This window comes from Homo sapiens, chromosome 4, assembly GCF_000001405.40.
Source record: "Homo sapiens chromosome 4, GRCh38.p14 Primary Assembly".
In the NCBI taxonomy this organism is placed as follows: Eukaryota; Metazoa; Chordata; class Mammalia; order Primates; family Hominidae; genus Homo; species Homo sapiens.
The window spans coordinates 47,811,767-47,830,236 of record NC_000004.12 but is presented as its reverse complement, the minus strand read 5'-3'; the positions used below and the strand labels follow the sequence as shown (position 1 = coordinate 47,830,236).

Here is an 18,470-nt window from a genome sequence, read left to right as displayed (position 1 = left end):
AAAAAAAAACAAACACCATGTGGGATTTATTGTTGGAAGTTACATTGGTCTCCAATGTGACACTCTCTTAAGGCTTTTCAGGGATTAGTTTGACAGTACATGATTTTCATCTTCATGTGCCTATTTTAGAGCCTTATTCTGGGAGCAAGATGCTACTTCTCTGTAGTGTGGTTTGGAAATCAAAGCTATATTGTTTTATTTACTATTTCTCTGTCATCCTTTAAAACAGTTTTGTCCAAGTCAAGCATCATCAGAAAGGGGAGTTCAATAAGAAGTTGGTATTAGGTTGCTGAGATTTTACAGAAGTCAGTTAACCTTTTAGATCCTGGTTTACTTGTGTAAAATGAGGTAGTTGGACTATTTACTCTTTCAGGGCCTTTTTCAATCTAAAGGCTATAATTTTTATGTGGCAGCAGAAAATGAGCAGGACACTGTCCCATTTTACTTTATTGTTTCTCTCTTCCCTTTCTGATAGCTGACAAGTGGTGTGTTTTTTCCTTCCTGACACCAGATGCATGGTATCTTTCCTGACACCACTGCTGCAACTCTCTGACACCAACTGGGTGTCCAATAATTCAACTCAATTCTGACACTATCTACCTGGAGTTAGTGCCAGATCCCACAAGACTGCCCCCACTTTAGATGACAGTTGCAAGTTCTGGGCCACCTGCACTTCTGACTGATTGGCCATGAATCAGGGGTTCCCATAACTCCCTCCCTCTTCAGGTTTGATAATTTGCCCTGATGGCTCACAGAACTCAGGACAACACTTAACTCACATTCACTGGTTTATGATAAAGGATACGAATGAACAGCCAGATGAAGAGGTGCCTAGGCCAAGGTCCAGAAGGTCCAGAAGGTCCAGAAGGGTCCTGCCCCAGTAGAAATATAATGTTAGCCACAGATGTAATTTTAGATTGTCTAGTAGCTGCACTGAAAAAGCAAAAAGAAACAGATAAATTTGAACTTAATAAGATAGCTTAACTCAATGTATCCAAGATTTCATAATTTTAATATGTAATCAACATAAAAATTAATGAAATATTTCACCTTTTTTTTTTTTTTTTTTTTTTTTTTTTGAGACGGAGTCTCGCCCTGTCACCCAGGCTGGAGTGCAGTGGCGCGATCTCGGCTCACTGCAAGCTCCGCCTCCCGGGTTCACGCTATTCTCCTGCCTCAGCCTCCTGAGTAGCTGGGACTACAGGCGCCCACCACCATGCCCGGCTAATTTTTTGTATTTTTAGTGGAGACGGGGTTTCACCGTGTTAGCCAAGATGGTCTCGATCTCCTGACCTCGTGATCCGTCCGCCTCGGCCTCCCAAAGTGCTGAGATTACAGGCATGAGCCACCGCGCCGGGCCTACCTTTTTTTTTCATAACAAGTCTTTAAATTTCACTACCCTTACAGCATTTCTCCATTCAAATGAGCTACACTGCACATGCTCAATAACGACATGTAGCAAATGTCTGCGGTATGAGAGAATACAGGGTTATATGGTGTGAGATGGTCTGAACAATGACCCCTGGAATAAACCCACATCTTAATCCCTGAGACCTGTGAATATTATTTTATATGTCAAAATTGTCAAAAGGGACTTTGCAAATGTAATTAAATTAAGGATTTTGAGATGGGGAGATTATCTTGGATTATCTGGGAGGTCCTGATGTGATCACAATGCCCTTAGAAAGTGCAGGAGCTTCTGTCCCCATGGAGTTGGAGTGCTCCCAGAATGTAGATGTGTTCACCAATTCAGAAACTCTAAGCCCTGACACTTAGGGGTTTTTATGGAGATTTTGTTCATCACACAGGCATGAGTATGTGGTTATTAATTCAATGTCTAGCCCTCTCTCCTCCCAGGAGGTTGGGGAGTAGGGCTGAAAACTCTAGGCTTCTAATCAAAGTTTGGTTTTTCTGGAGACCAGCCCCTATCCTGAAGCTAGCTAGGAGTTTTCAAGAATCCAAGAATCACCTCGTTAGAACAAAAGTTAGAACAAAAGGTGCTCTTATCACTCTTATCACTCAGGATATTCCAAGGGATTTAAGGAGTCCTGTGTCAGGAATTGGGAAAAAAAACAAACACATACTTCTGATTATGCCATAGGAGTGCTGCCTGGGTAAGGGGCATCCTACATGACCTTAGTGTCCACTTCCCTCTTAGTGGGCATTTGCTAATTCTTCTTACAGTGACCCTCTGCCAAAGTGAAAAATTGCCTGTTCAACCCCAAAAGACTGATCAGAGGAAAGCTGGGAGGCAGTTTAAACTACCATAGCTCTGGTTTCTCTGAGGGTATCTACTCTGGCTAGAGGTCAGATCCGAACATCTTACCTATGTATGCAGCTATGGGTGGTGAACAGAACGAGGAGAGACAGTCATTGGTATCAGGGCTCTTCCACCAGATGGCCCAGGATCAAGCTGGGTGCCAGGTGTGCCTCTGGGTGCTGAGGAAGTGTGACACAGGAGAAAATCTTCTTTAAATAACTGGGTGGGAAATATGCCCCTATGCCTTCAAAGTTAAGAAATAATTTTTAAAAAAACATAATAAAAATGTGCTCAGAATAGCAAAAGAGCAGAACTTTAAGGTAGAAAGGGAAAATCCTGAGATCTCTGAAATTTAGGAGGGTGGAAAGTAAAACCACTCAGGAAGTAGAGTGAGCCTGATTAAACCACTAAACCCAAACCAGGAAATCAGTCAGGCAGCCTTGGGTGCAGAGGTGCATAGACATGGGCTCAAGTTCTAGCTTATCACTTACTGACTGGGTGCTCCTCCAGCAAGTTAATTTCCCTTAGGCTCCATTTTCTTCTCTGAAAAGTTGGAATAATACATCTCTTACAAGGCTGTAATGAGGACTTAATGAAAGAATGTATTAATGAAAATGCTTTATTAGAATGCATGTTGCTGGATAAATGTATTTTTTTTATTGTTACGCTTATCTAGTTGTGCATATCCCTAATAAAATATCTCTCTTGAATTGACATCTTAATTGCAGGAATTTAGTGGCTCTCTCTAGAGAAAGAAGAAATGTTGCTTCCAAAGTCTGGGCTCTCTTATAAGTAAGGCAAAAATAAAACAACTGAAAGTTAATGTCACCCTGCCTCCTTTATGGTCTGTAGTAGGACTGCTCCAATAGAAATATAATGTTAGCCACAGATGTAATTTAAAATTGTCTAGTAGCTGCACTTGAAAAAGCAAAAAGAAACAGATGAATTTAATCTTAATAAGATAGCTTATTTAACTCAATATATCCAAGATTTTATAATTTTAATATGTAATCAACATAAAAATTATTAATGAAATCTTTTACCTTTTTTTCATAACAAGTCTTTAAATTTCACTACCCTTATAGCATTTCTCAGTTCAAATGAGCTGCATTGCAGGTGCTCAATGACAACACATAGCGAGTGTCTATGGCATTAGAGGGTACAGGGCTTTATGGAGCGAGATGTTCCGAACAATGACCCCCTAGATAAACCCACATACTAATGCCTGAGACCTGTGAATATTATTTTCTATGTCAAAAGGGACTTTGCAAATGTAATTAAATAAAGGATTTTGAGATGGGGAGATTATCTTGAATTATGTGGGAGGTCCTGATGTGATCACAAAGCCCTTAGAGAGGCAGAAAGGTCAGAATCACATGTGACAATTAGTGATGGTGGATGTAGAGATGGGAGGAGAAATGTGCTTTGAAGATACAGGAAGGGGCCACAAGCCAGGGAATAGACACAGCCACTATAAGCTGAAAAAGACACAGATTTTCCCCTGAGAGCCTTCAGAAGGAAGCAGCCTTGATAACACCTTGACTTTAGTCCAGTGAAACTGATTTCAGACTTCCAACCTCCAGAACTGTGAGACAATAAATTTGTGTTGCTTTAAACTACTAAGTGTATGGTAATTTGTTACAGCAGCAAGAAGAAACAACTATATAACTGATACACAAATATTCACATCATTTCCAAGCGTGTTTTGTGAAGGTGTTGCCCTGGCTGCAGAGTCTTAGACAATCACAGTTGTTCATCTCAGCTTGTGCTGGGGTAGGCATTTGCAGTCATTCCTAGGGTTTTTGTGCATTACTGCTATCTTCCCTTAGCGCTGGGGTCTATTTCTTTCTCTGACCCAATTGCCGCCTTTGATGGCAAAAACTCAGTTGGTGTCTTATCACTGCCTTTAAGGACGAACAGAGGAAGGAGGTTTTCTTATTAGGGTACAGTGAGCAGCAGAAAAAAGCAATGGTTGGCTGGATTCAGTGGCTCACACCTGTAATCCTAGCACTTTGGGAGGATGAGGCTGGCAGATTGCTGAGGTCAGGAGTTCGAGACCAGTCCGGACAACACGGTGAATCCCTGTCTCTACTAAAAATACAAAAATTGACCAGACATGGTGGTGGGCACCTGTAATCTAGTAAGCTAGTTGGCAGGCTGAGGCAGCAGAATCATTTGAGCCTGGGAGGCAGAGGTTGCAGTGAGCCGAGATCACGCCACTGCACTCCAGCCTGGGTGACAGAGTGAGACTCCATCTAAAAAAAAAAAAAAAAAAAAAAGCAGTGGTTTGAAAAAGTTACTGGTGATTTTTACTATCTGCTCACTTTTTTTTTCTGGTAAGTGTAAAAATGTTCTAAAAGTTATTCATTTAAAAGAATTACTGCAATGTGGGCTTGGTGGGATTCAAGTGTTACTCTTACGTCTTTATCTATGAATGTTAGCGAATGTGTGATTAGGCCAGTGATCCTAGAACTTTAGTGTGCATGAGAATTACCTGGAGGGTCTGATCCAACATGGATCGCTGGGTCCCATTGTCAGTTTCTAATTTAACAGGTCTGGGTTGAGACCCAAGAATTCATGTGTCTAACAAGTCCCAGGTGATGCTAATTAGCCGCAGATAGGTGTGGTGTGGGAAAGCCCGGCAGAATACCTCGCCTGCAAGGGGGACTCCCAGGCCTCACTTCTATGGGGAGGGGGCCACATAATTGCCAGGAAAGACTCTGAGGCTGGCTTTCCATCGCTGATCCGGACACTTACAGAGCCCTCCTCCAGCAACAAGCCCAGCAATTGGTTGCTAAGGAACTGGAGAGTCCGCACACAGCCTCTCTTGCTTGGCTCTGTTTTGTGTCTCGCACCCTGAGGCCTGAAGCAGATGACAATTCTGAGCTTCTCAAGTCTCAGTTAAAAATACCTCATTTGCCACAGGCCAGCGGTGTGCTCACATTTCCCAGGTGGAGTGACTCCCTGGACCTGCGGCTGCCCTGGTGGAAAGTCTGTAAGCAGATAACACCAGGTTAAAAATAGCCCTGGGGAGGCCCCTCAAAGCTGTCACACTCAGCTGCCCACGTTGGGTAAGCAAGGCAGAGTGGGGAGGGATCTTTCAAGCTAGGAATGACTGAAGGACTGTCTGGCTGTGTCCAGTTTCATTCCCTAAAGAGGTTAGGACAAACTTGAGAGTTTAGCGTTCTCTTTCCCCTTGGCCTTTGTGGTTTTTTGAATTCAAAATCTAGACTTGGATACACAGCTCTAATCTGGCCTGTGGTGCTTTTTATTCTGCCCTCTTCTGCAGAACAATAGAATCATAACAATAGAATTGAGTTTCCATCCTGTTTGAAATTAAAACAAAGAAGGTGAACCTGGGGCATGGTGGCTCATGGCTGTAATCCCAGCACTTTGGGAGGCTGAAGGGAGAGGATTGCTTGAGGCCAGGAGTTTAAGACCAGCCTGGGCAACATACTGAGACTCTGTCTCTACAAAGCAAAAAAAGAAAGAAAGAAAAGCTTTTCCTAAGGCATCCTGGTGAGAACGTGAAGTGGCCCCAACAAAGGACCTGCAAGATCTCACCTGGGTGTGCCTTGGTCAGTGGTCCGAGTTGTTTTATGACAAGCTCAGCTTACCTGTTTGGCCTCCTGGTAGCACTGTGTGTGTATTTTTTTTTTTTTTTTTCTGTTGTTGTTTAACACTACCTCTATTAACTGAATGCAAATAAGAGGAACAAAAATGCTCTTTGAATAAGAAACATATATTCCTAACAATATTCTCAAATCATTTCATGTCAGCCACTCCTAAAAATGCTCTTGTATTGTTATTCTCCTTTATATATGCTTTAGGAGAAAAAAGGAGTAAAAAAAAAAAAAAAAGGAATAGCATTGATTGCTTTCCATAGATTTCAAAACTTTGGATTTTCCTATTCCTTGCTCCTTGGTGAACAACTGAGTCCTGAATGGTTCAGTGGACAGAGTAAGGTGGGTTCTAAAGTGTGGGGAGGGACAGCAGCACGTCAGCCACATCAACAAGGACAGGTGGCCAGCAGAGTATGTTGGTGCCTAAGCAGGGTAAGGATGGTGTGTGTGGAGGTCAACCTAAGATGGGGTTCAGGGTCTGAGTAGGAGGAGGAAGGTGTCCATGCATAGGAGAGCCAGGGCAGAATGAGCACGGCGTCTGGGACAGGGTGAGCATGGCGCCCACATGGCAGCTGGGGCTGGGACATGGGAAATTAGTTACAGACTGGGGGATTGATCAAGCAATTAAATGTATTAACAATAAACCAGCTTTCTCCCTGTTGGAAAAGGGGTTAAAAGTATAGAAAGTATAGTAGATCTGGACCTCTGTGATATGGGATTGAAACTGGAGATATGTGTATAAATATCTGGTTTTCAATGTGTAAAGATAGATATAGAAATAAATACAGAGGCCTATGTGTATGTGTACATATGTGAATGCACACACAATATAAATACATTTTTCCATATAGCTCTTTCTGCTGAGAGAAACTGGGAACAACACCACCCCAGGAACAATGAGCACATCATATGCATACCAAGGGGCCCTCAGATCTTGTTTTTTAAATGTCATTTTCTACAAAAAGGAACCAGGATCCTTGGAGAAATGGCTGATTCCAAGGGTGATGCAAGGCTAGTAGCAGATGAATTCAAAGCATCTTGTTCCAAAAAGCAAGGAAGTGCTCAAAGAATGATGGGGCATGTCACAAGGACACAGCAGCCAGCTTTAATGAACTTCCATTGGCCAAATGGAGGGCAAATTGAGGATCTAAGTAAATTATGATAGTAACAAATTATAAACCATTGAATGAAATAGGAAAACAGTAGTCCATGCTTATGTAAGCGAATAAAAAAAGAAATGGGGCCGGGTACGGTGGCTCACGCCTGTAATCCCAGCACTTTGGGAGGCCGAGGCGGACAGATCATGAGGTCAAGAGATTGAGACCATCCTGGCCAATATGGTGAAGCCCGTCTCTACTAAAAATACAGAAATTAGCCGGGCATGTTGGCACGCGCCTGTAGTCCCAGGTACTTGGGAGGCTGAGACAGGAGAATCGCTTGAACCCGGGAGGTGGAGGTTGCAGTGAGCCGATATCGCACCACTGCACTCCAGCCTGGCATCAGAGCGAGACTCCCTCTCAAAAAAAAAAAAAAGAAATGGAAAGTTTGAAGAGATGGTATATTAACATGGTTTCAAAGTACCTCTCCACAAAATAATGTTACAATGGGGAGGCTTGACCCATCCCAACAGTATCATGTGTTGGATATGACTGTCATCAATAAAAGGACAAATTGATAGGATTCAATGAGAAAAATGCAACATCACTTTTGTGTTATTTCTCCCAAAGATGTCTGAATTTAATCCTAAACCACAACTGAGGAACATTCTACAAAACAACTGGCCTGTAATTTACAAAACTGTGAAAGTCATAAAAGATAAGAGAAGACTGAAGAAGACTAAAGAGACGTGAAAACCAAATGTAATTGTGATTCTAAATTAGATCCTTTTGGTAGAAGGGGTATTATTGAGACTAATGGAAAAACCAGTGGGGTCTGAGAATTAGGTGGTTGCAATATATCAATGTAATCTTCTCATTTTAATGGCTGTGTTGTGTTTAGGCAGGAGAATGTCCTTGTTTATAGGAAATATCCATTAATATATTCTGGAGCAGTGAGGCATCTGGTTAGCAACTGAGTATCAAACGGGTCAGAAGAAAAGTCAGAAGAAAATGGGTCAGTTCCTTATACTGTACCTTCAACTCTTCTGTAAACATGTGTGTTTTAAATTTTTTAAAAAGGAAAAAAGTAAATACATTTTGTTTAATAATTTCAGGAGATATTTCACTTTTGCATTTTTAAAAAATCTACCCTAAGACAAACTTTATTTGTAGTCATGGACATTTTTTCTTTTTGAAAGTAGTGAACAATTTAGTATACTGTTAATATACAACTTAATCTTAAATGAAATATCTTTCCCCTAACTTCTTCAATTGAAAATAGGATTATTTATAATCCCTTAATTCACATCCACAATTCTTAATTGTGTTTCCTTTGAAAAGGATAAAAGTTGATACATGAAAGCTAGGCAAGTATTAAACATTTATAGAACTCTTTTAAATTAGTTTAGTCTGTTCTCATTTGGATCTGGAGGTTTGTCTTTTCATAAGCAAATTAGGTGCATCTATAATATACATAGTTTAAAACATTTATCATTTCTATGTTTGGTTTTGTCTCAAAGTACAGATAACTTTAGCGCTGGGAAGAAATGAGACAATCATTTAAAAAATATTTTCTTGCTTGGGAATACCAACTGTGGAAAGACGTCAAAACAAAATTTAAAAATGTGATGGATGGAACAATGGGATCTACACTCTCAAAAGCCTTCTTTTCTTTTTATCAACTTCTTATAATTTTAGAAAATGTTACATAATTCTTAATACCTTGAACTCCGATCATAAATATTAAACATTCAGACAGTTTTTTTTATAAGTATGTATTAACATATTATTTAAAATATTTAAAACCATCAGTGGAAAGAAGCGGGGAAGGTAAATTATTTGATTATGACTGAAATAATAATTCTAATATTATATATATATAAGTACCTATAATAAATATTAATTAATATTCCTAATCATTGAAGTATTTTCAACATGAGACTGCTCTCTGTTGTAGTTAAATTGAACATATTTTAATAAAAAGGTTGAGGTCAGTTTGTAAGTTCATTTTGTTTTTTTTTTGAGATGGGGTCTCGCTCTGTCGTCTAGGCTGGAGTGCAGTGGCATGATCTTGGCTCACTGAAACCTCTGCCTCCCGGGTTCAAGCGATTCTTCTGCCTCAGCCTCCCGAGCAGCTGGTACTACAAGCACACGTCACCACATCTGGCTAATTTTTGTATTTTTAGCAGAGACGGGATTTCACCATATTGGCCAGGCTGGGCTTGAACTCCTAACCTCATGATCCGCCTGCCTCATCCTCCCAAAGAGCTGGGATGACAGGCGTGAGCCACCACACCCAGCCATGAGTTCATTTTTCACATTGCCATAAATTATTTATGCTGTACTTTCTATAGCATTTTTTAATCATAAAAAGTATGACTCAATCTATAGCATTAATCACAATAGTAATTAAATGAATATTTGTGTAACAATTGACTCTATTTTTCCCTTGATAGTTCGTGTATTCCATAAGGACAGGGACTACTGACTTGTCTATATTCTATTTCTACCTCTTAGCACAGTTTATCAGATCACTTTCTCATGTGTTTTACATTTTTTATTGTGAGCTCATTTTTCGGGCAGGGGGCAGTTTCGGAAGTGCAGAGTGGTTTTGGTTTGCTTCTGATAGGCACCCTAGTAGAATTACCAGTCTGAGATCTACTTTTATATTAATTTCACAGCTTGGGAATTCTACACTTGCTGTACAATGTAAATTTGTACAGCAAATTTTTCATTTCTCATAAGAGCTTTTTATTGTTTTCACTTTTACAGGGATGCTCTTTTTTAGTCCTTTCCTTGGGCTAAGTGGAGCTTTCTAACTTCCTTTTCACTGACAGTGTAGCATTGTGAAAGTCCTGGATTTATTTGAGGTTCTCATTTCCAGCTCCTAACCTAGGCCTTTTCTCAGGTCTCTTTCTTGGCATTCAAACCCCAGACCCAAGCTCCTAGTCTGACGTCCAAGAAAATTTCTCCCCTCACCCTCATTATTTCCCTCTAACCCTAATTTCCAGGATGTCTTAGCCTCAACTTTTACTGTTCTGGCTTTCAGTTTCCCTTTCTTTTCTTGCTCCTAGAAATTCCTCTCTCTTTCTTTTGACTGCCACTATGTATTTAAACTGGCATGAACAATAGTTGAAACCATGGATGGTTCCATTTGAAAGAAGAATGTGTCGGGAGGGGAGGAAAGTGACACTTTCCGGAGTCAGGCACTTTTATACTCCGGACATTTCCCAAACCCTGGGAGATGGGGCTGCTTGTCTGGCTTCAGGATTGTAATAGCAGTTTCAATTAGGATCCCCCTGGATGGTCTATAAAATTATTGGGAGCATTCTGTATTTGGTAGCATTCTGATGATTATAGGTTATGAAAACCTCTTAGAACTGGCTAAACTGACGAAGGGGATTTTATCTTTGGCTTATTTGATGTCTCACAGATCCTAAGGGCAGGAAAGCAGGGACTAGAATTTGGAGGTAGAATTTGGAGGTAGAAGGCTGGTGGGAATTAATGGAATTATGGGCATCAAGGTACACAGATGAGATGCAGGATGCCTCTGATCTCTGATTCTGAATCAGGATCTTGTGAAACCCTTATCCAGTTAAGGCTAATGGGATCATTTCTCCTCTCCCGTTATCCTTCCCATTTTTGGGAGACTCTGATTCCCTTCATGTCTCTCGCTGCTTCTGTCTCCTGCTTTTTTGCATAGGAATGGTTGGTTCCTCATATTAGCCTTTATTACTCCTCGTAAAGAGATTGTCTTTCCCTGGCTATTTTTGTCTCTGTCCCCTCTTCCTCTAGGAAGGCCCTGTTGAGTTTGCAAGAGTTTAACTTCCTTCTTAATTTAGTCATTTCCTATCTATATTTTCTGTAGGTTCAGTAATTTTTGCTCAGTTTGCTTTTAGTTTCTCTTTGTCTTCTGGCCATGATCTTTGCCAACTTGCTCTTCTAGACTTCCTTTGTGAAGTCTCCCATAGTGAGAAATATGAGTAGATTTTGGGTCTGCTGAATGCTTTCATGTTCAAGTAAATCTTGTCTACCATTATCCTCCTGAGTTGGCTAATTCCTACCCAGAAGGTGTTCTCCTCTCAAATCCGCATCTAACCTAGGCTTGGACTCAATCTATTATGGGTTGCCCAGCTCCCTTTTAAATATTTTTCATTTTTGCTATGTCTTCTCTTTTTCCTAATTCCATAAATTTTCTATTATATTACACACACAGTACTTATGTACTCACCTATAATAACTGTGTCAGGCTGAAACTTGATACGTAAGAATTATTGGATAATTTTATGTTGATTTTCCAGATCTTACCCTGTTCAATATATCCAGATTTTCAAAAGCTGCTTGGCATAGTTGTCCAATCTTTTTTTTTTTTTTTTTTCTGTTTTTGACAGAATCTTTCTCTGTCACTTAGGCTGGAGTGCAGTGGTATGATTACATTTCACTGCAGCCTTGACTTCCTGGGCTCCAGTGATCCTCCCACCTCAGCCTCCCAGGTAGCTGGGACCACAGGAGTGCACCACCACGTCTGGCTAATTTTTGCATTTTTGTTAGAGACGAGTTTTTGCCATGTTGCCCAGGGTAGTCTTGAAAACTCCTGAGCTCAAGTGATCCACATTCCTTGGCCTCCCAAAGTGCTGGGATTACAGGTGTGAGCCACCTTGTCTGACCAGTTGTCCAATCTTTTAGGCATGGTTCCTCAGTTGTTTTTACAATCAAATGTCTATCTGCAGCTTTTAAAAAACTGCCTTTTAGTAATTTATCACATCCTTGACCTTTTGGGGACAGACAATTCATTTGTTTTCTGAGAACTTGTCTTTCTTCCTCTGTTTGATTTCTTTGGGTTCCAGCCATACTTTATTGTCTAGTAGTTATCAGAAGCATCTCTCTCTTTCCAATAAACTCTTTAAGCGTATTAGACCTGGGTGCAACTCCTTGCTCGTCTATATCTATCCACACAGACCTTCAGAGTCTCACTTTTTCCTTCTTATCTGCTCAGCCTACCTGCTCAAAACTCAACCCTTCTCTTAAGGAAACTTATGTCTTCCTCTAATTTAGTAGTTTAGTCAACACTTTTTCTGAAAGTAAGACTGAACTATGTTTTTCAAACCATTCCAGATATTTTTTGACCTCCTGAGATAAACATTCTGTAGAGACAGGATGTTTAATGCACAGGCCTTTGAATTGCCTTTTTAGCCTTTGCATTTGCAAAAGTTTTATTGAGTTGTGTTCCTACTTCACCCCAAGAAGAAGGAATACATGATGATAAAGCCTTGTATATTTTTGTTTTCAAATGAAATCTACCAGCTGTAGAAGGGTAAATCTACCAGCTGTAGAAGGGTAAATCTACAGCTGAATCCATGAATTAGGTCTATGAAATCTAGAGACCGGGTCAGAGATTATTTGTTTAACAAATCCAGAGTGAACTTAGGATCATGTGATAGAGGGTGGCTAGAACCTGTGAACAAATTCTGTGCATCTTAAGGATTGAGATCTCCCCTTCTCTGTTTCTTTCCATGGCCCTGAATGTAGCTTAAAACAACATAAGGAGGAATAGAATTTGGGGCAGCCTTTCTTCAGTTTAATACTTATTTTAAGACTGGCACAAATAGTCAAAACTAGAAGCTCACATCTACTTCTTGAGAACCAAAGAATCTCAGCTGTTTTGTAGTTTCCAGGCAGCACCTTTTGTCCTGTTCACCTCCAGAAGCTAAAAACTTGATCCTACCTCAGCCACAGCTGAAACACTGGGAACTGGCATAGGCTGCAGAGACTGTCCAAAGTCTAAAGTCCTACATGGACCATGTTTGGTATGGGTCCACCAAGGCTTAAAGCCTCATGCTGTGCCAGATCAAGAAATAATCACTCCATGTGTGTTGTTCTACCCTAGTACCACTCCATACTCTCTCAAGACTCCTGGTTCAAGAGTAGTATATGTTAGTTATATATTATATATATATATATTTTGTTATATATATATAGTTAGTAGTATATGTTTTAAAGGACTTAATACATTCTGCCACTTCTTTTTGATTGATATTCGATTGATGTTGACATTCAAATTCTGTGTTCTTTGTGTTCCAGGTAGGGTGATGATCACACACAATTAAGAGACATAATGATTATTATTTTTTAAATGTCCCATACCTCTGTGGAAAAAAGGCATAAGATTTAGTACTTACCTAAAGAGCTAGTGTTTATTAATGCCTATAGGAAGGGTAACAGTTTGCTTACTTAGGGCTGTGCCTTGTATCCAGAGAGTCAAGCTGACCACACCGTATTGCTCAATAGATGATTGCTGAATGGCCCAAGTGGTTCTCAACTAGGGAAGGCAGTACTCTAAAGAACATTTGGAAATAAAGTAGGAGCTATTTGTTGGTCACAATGAGTGTGTGAGTGTGTGTGTGTGTGTGCACGTGTGTGTGTGCTTGTGCTATGGCTGGCATTTATTAGGTGGTGGCCAGGGATGCCAAATATCCTGCAATATGTGAGAGAGTCCATCAGTGAAAAATTGTCCTTCTCGGAATATCAATTACATTGCTTCTCTTTGGCCCCCCTCCTCCTTCAACCAACAGACATGTGCTTTGAGGCTCATTGGAATAAACGCTCAAGAAATACTGTTGTTTCAGTGCAAAAGTTCACACTGCACCTATGGTTGATTTGTTGTTGTACTTTTTACATGTCTGCATTACCCTAGTCATAGGGTATTGAAGTCACCTGTGAAGCTGTATATCTTCTTGGAGGTAGGCTGTTAACTCCTTGAGGACAGGGACTATGTTTTCTTCATCTTTATAGCCCTATAACACAGAATAGATGTTACATAAGCATTTGTGGAATAAACCAAATTACTGGGATTTTAACATGTCACATAGACGTGTTTTGTAATGGAAACCTCAACACAGAATTTCTCATTTTTCAACTAGAATATTCATGGAACTATAGCAAAACATATGATGAATGTTAAGTTTGGAATTCATCTTTTGCTTTAGGTATTCAGAAAGAAATTGCTGCTTCATCTAATGCATAACATCATTACTTGTATTTTTTCACTGCAGGATTCCTTTTCAGCAGGTAGGTTCAGTAGGTTAATTGTTTTCAACATCTGTTTATGTTTTACTTTGCATTGAAATGCCTGAAATGAATTGTTGTAGAGCATAAAATCCACTTTGTCTTCTATGCTTTCCCTGATTATTTTCAGCTGTAGAAAGTCAATCTTTTAATTCGCTACTCACTTTGACAATCTGTTTCAATTTTTAAAAGTCACAACATTTCCATTGTTATAGGATTAGTGAGTCAATTAAGTTTCTAAGATTTGCACAAATTCAGGAGCCTCCTTAGCGCTAAATGAAATGTGGGTTTGGCTTTATGTTAACTGTTTGACTCCTTTGGATTTTGCCATAGCTTTCTTAGAGATGTAGTAACGAATAATCAAGATGTGAAATTTAGAACATTTTTATCAATAAATATCAAATATTTAATTTCCCAAGAAATGGATAACCCAACTCTCTTTCCCCCCGTATTCTCTATTGTTTTAAAAAATATAGGCTGAAAAACTGACCTTTAAGACTCTCCAATATATGCAGAAAGAGTTCTGATATTGTATATACCTAAAAGGAAACTTTATTACTTTAAACTTTGTGTCTTTCATAAAATGATAGTATTGGCAAGTTTGAGATTGAGGGCAAAGTCATCTCCAAAAAGGACACAGGATCCTATTTATCTATCTTGTCTGGATAATGAGAGCCTACTGTTTCTTCCCAAAATCATCTTCTATAACTATTACAGAAATATGACCCTCCTACAGTGCTCTGAAGAAAATAGGATTTACCTAAAAGGCTAAACTATTCTCCTGTTGCCTCTGAAGATATCTCCTCATTTAAATAAAGATAATAACTTTCCTCCAGGGAAACTAAATTGAGCAAGCTCTGAACTATGTGTTAAAAAAAAATCAGGACTCTTGAGCTTTCTGAACTTGAAAGAAACATTTTTTTTTCATTTTTCTTTTGCTTTACTAATTTCACTTTACTTTTGGGGTATTTGTGGTTGGAGAAAGACCTTTTTATGCCTTATTTGCAGATACGGAGATACGGTTAAGAATGGAAGATGACTTTATAAGGTTACGTAGATTTTCAGTGGCTGAGAAAGTATTGTACAAGTTGCCTTTGAAACATTCCAATCTCGTCTCTCACAGTTCAGACTTCAGCTAAACAATGTATCCTCAAAACAGAAACACTAATGTTATATGGTGCCTGCGTACTGGGTTATTATTATCTAGTCTCCTTGATAGGATACATATTTTGTTGGTATTTAGTCTCCATATTGAATCTACATTCTGGGATATGTGATTCTGAAATTTGGGAGAGGACTATCTGGTGCTGTTATTTTGTTAACTTTCAAAGGGAAAATGTGGGCAGAGTTGGCTTGCAGTACCATGTGTTCTGGTATGAACTGAGTAATTTCATTTTGAGAGACTGCATGAGTTATTTAAACTTCATATGCTTCAACTACATGCCAGAAAATGGGATGAAAAGACTTACTGAAAACCAGATGCGTGTTCTTTATGCTTCCTGGGATATTAAAAACAAACATCACACCAAAAGACATGATGATTTTGGAGGCATTTTGCTTGTTGGTTGAGTGAGAGCTATTATTGCAGAGAATTGCAGATGCCTGGCTTGAGAACTATCCACATTATTAATCTGTTACTCAACAAATCTACTTTTAATTCATGTGAAGGTCACTTTCATAATTTCTTAAGAACAGAGTGGGAAGCATCTAGCACTGTCCATTTTTCATCTTAAATGAGGGGGTAACAATTGACTAATTTTTGCTCTACGGACAGAGTGGAGATGGGTTGGAAAAACTCCATCTCTATGACTGAAAAAAGAACACAAATCACATTTTGGCATAATGATTGTGCAGGACAAAGTTCCAAGTTGAATATCTAGCCGCAAGTAGAGTCTCAGTGTCTGCATTTCTTTAGATTCGTGAGTATATTAATATGTGACACTGTAATGCCCCCACAGTGTTTAGAGGGAGCTTCTGTGTCCTGTTTAGGACACACCAGTAGGAGTCACTTTATTATCCTTGAGGCTGGTCCTTGCTTTGCTGAAATGGAAGAGTATATTTGCAGTTTATCATCTTCCTACCTAAAGAATTAAGGTACTAAATTTGTCTCAAGCCAATACATAGTGTTGATTTTGGATGATTTTTTTCTTTTTAGTTGTTTGTTTTTAACATTGTAAGCAAATATTTTGTGATAAGACAAATGGTCATTGAATTCTGCCATAATTTTGCATACAATCCCATCTATTAAAATGAACATTCTCATTTTGGTTTGAGAACAGTTTGACATTTTGGCTTGGTAATATCAGAAACTTCAAACAATAAATAGAATTTTAGCTAAATCCACCAGATTGGCATATGAATTAGGATAACCTCTAGCAAGTACTGTTTGTACATCTAAATAAAGTTCACAGACTGTGTTGACTAACCATCATGTATTAACTAAGTCTACATAGTTTATTTAAGAACATTTTGGTATTTAATTTTGGTAAGAATAATTTTGGTATTTAATAAAATCCATGGTATAATGTCACATTAGGCAGACAGAATTAATCTTCACATTTCAAAATATTCTGCTTATCAGAAACAGTTTAAATTCTGCCTCAAGTTTGCCTGATCTTTGATGGCAATTAAACAAATCTTGTTTAAAATAAAAATATCAACATATCTCTATGTCTGATGCTGTACCTTAAGAAATAGCAGGCTGATGTTAATCTCTTTGTAGACAATTTCTCTGAGTGCATATTATTGCTTTCAGAGCTAAAGACAGCATATGTTTGGCAAAACCTTGGAATGGTCAAGGGATAGGTTTTGTTTTGTTTGTTTTTAAATTAGGTATTGGGAGAAATAAATAAGCAAGGACTTGGACTATGGTTTCCAAACTGTGTGCTGTTGTATTCCAGGTTGCTGCAGTGACTCAAGGGACTTTGCTGGATATTTTTAGTTTTTGAGGCAAATGCAGCGATACTTGACATTTATTGGTCATCACATGAAATACTAGCTTGAGGTAGCTCACAGTTTCAACATTAGATTGTGCTATATTCCTTTTGATATTGTCCTGTCTCCACAAAGCTGGGTTCTTGGCGGTTGCTATGCAAAAGTTGTGCTATGAAAGAATCCATGTGGAGCAGGCAATGAGGGGTGGTGGTGTCTGATCTGATTCCAAGGTGTAAGGAGTTGTGCGGTAGTCAACAGGTGTACACATCATATTAGTATGCAATTGTGGTTATTATTTATATTTTTACTTCTTGCCAAATACATTTTCTACTTGAAGGATTTTTGGATGATTTAGGAATAGACTCTGTAAGAAGTAGTTATTTGCATAATTATGTACAAAGTAATTTTTATTTAGGAAATTTAATTAATTCATTTATTCAGTAAGTGTTTATCCACTAACTCCTGACCGTGTTCAGGTACTGTTCTAGATACAGAGCATTCACTGATGAGAAAAGGGCAATATTTGCATATATAGCAAGAAATAGACTGAATTGGTATGACTTCTGCTATGATTGTGTTTTTAAAGAAGCAGGAATAAATTTGTACTTTCTAGCTCTAAAATCTTATGAGTATTTGTTGGTTCCTATAGTCTATGATGCATGTTGTGGTACTCTTTCAGCTTGAATGTTTCTGAAACTAGTGCTTTCCTTTCTCCTAATGTAGTGCATATAGTATTTATTTATTTATTTATTGGACCCAGGGTCTCGTTCTGTCTCCCAGGCTGCAGTGCAGTGGTACGATCTTGGCTCACTGCAACCTCAGTCTCATGGGTTCAAGCAGTCCTCCCACCTCAGCTTCCTAAGTAGCTGGGACTACAGGCAACAACCACCATGCTTGGCTAACATTAATTTTTTTTCTTTTTGTAGAGAATGAGGTCTCACTATATTGTCCAGTTTGACCTTGAACTCCTGGGCTCAAATAATCCTCCTGCCTCAGCCTCCCAAAGTGCTGGTGTTATAGGTATGAGCCATTGTGCCCAGCCACATATATAGTGTTGATAATTTTTTTTCTACTTTGAAGATTATTTTTATCTTTCAACCTTTTCTGGAGTAACTTTGCACTACAGCAACAAATAGTTTTGTCTGCTAATTTACCCCCTGTACAATTATATCATATTTCATTAAAAGCCCTGATGAAGAGATTAAAATACAATTTTCTTAAAAGAATTTATATTTTAGTTTGATTATCAAATTAAACATGCAAATTTAAAAATACACATATATGCAGATATACACTGATACACTACATCAGGGGCTCACATACTTTTTCTATAAAGTATCAGATAGTAAAGATTTTAGGCTTTGAGTACCATATGATCTCTGTTGCAACTACTCAATGTTGTTGTAGTAGCAGCAGAGCAGTATAGACAGAATATAAACAAATGAACATGGCTGTATCCAATAAAACTGTATGTACAAAAATACTAGGTGT

At 38.8% G+C, this 18,470-nt stretch overlaps 1 protein-coding gene across 3 annotated transcripts in view, besides 1 other annotated feature; it reads left to right on the top strand.

Moving 5' to 3' along the window:
• The window catches only part of CORIN (corin, serine peptidase), a 244,067-nt gene that overhangs the window by 7,831 nt on the left and 217,766 nt on the right, over positions 1-18,470 (top strand). The gene's annotated exons all lie outside the window — the stretch shown is intronic.
• Positions 4,202-5,788: an enhancer, noted in NCBI's record as "VISTA enhancer hs2414". NCBI's record gives its function as "enhancer in: heart[5/5]" and the evidence as "EXISTENCE:transgenic organism evidence [ECO:0001131][PMID:17130149]".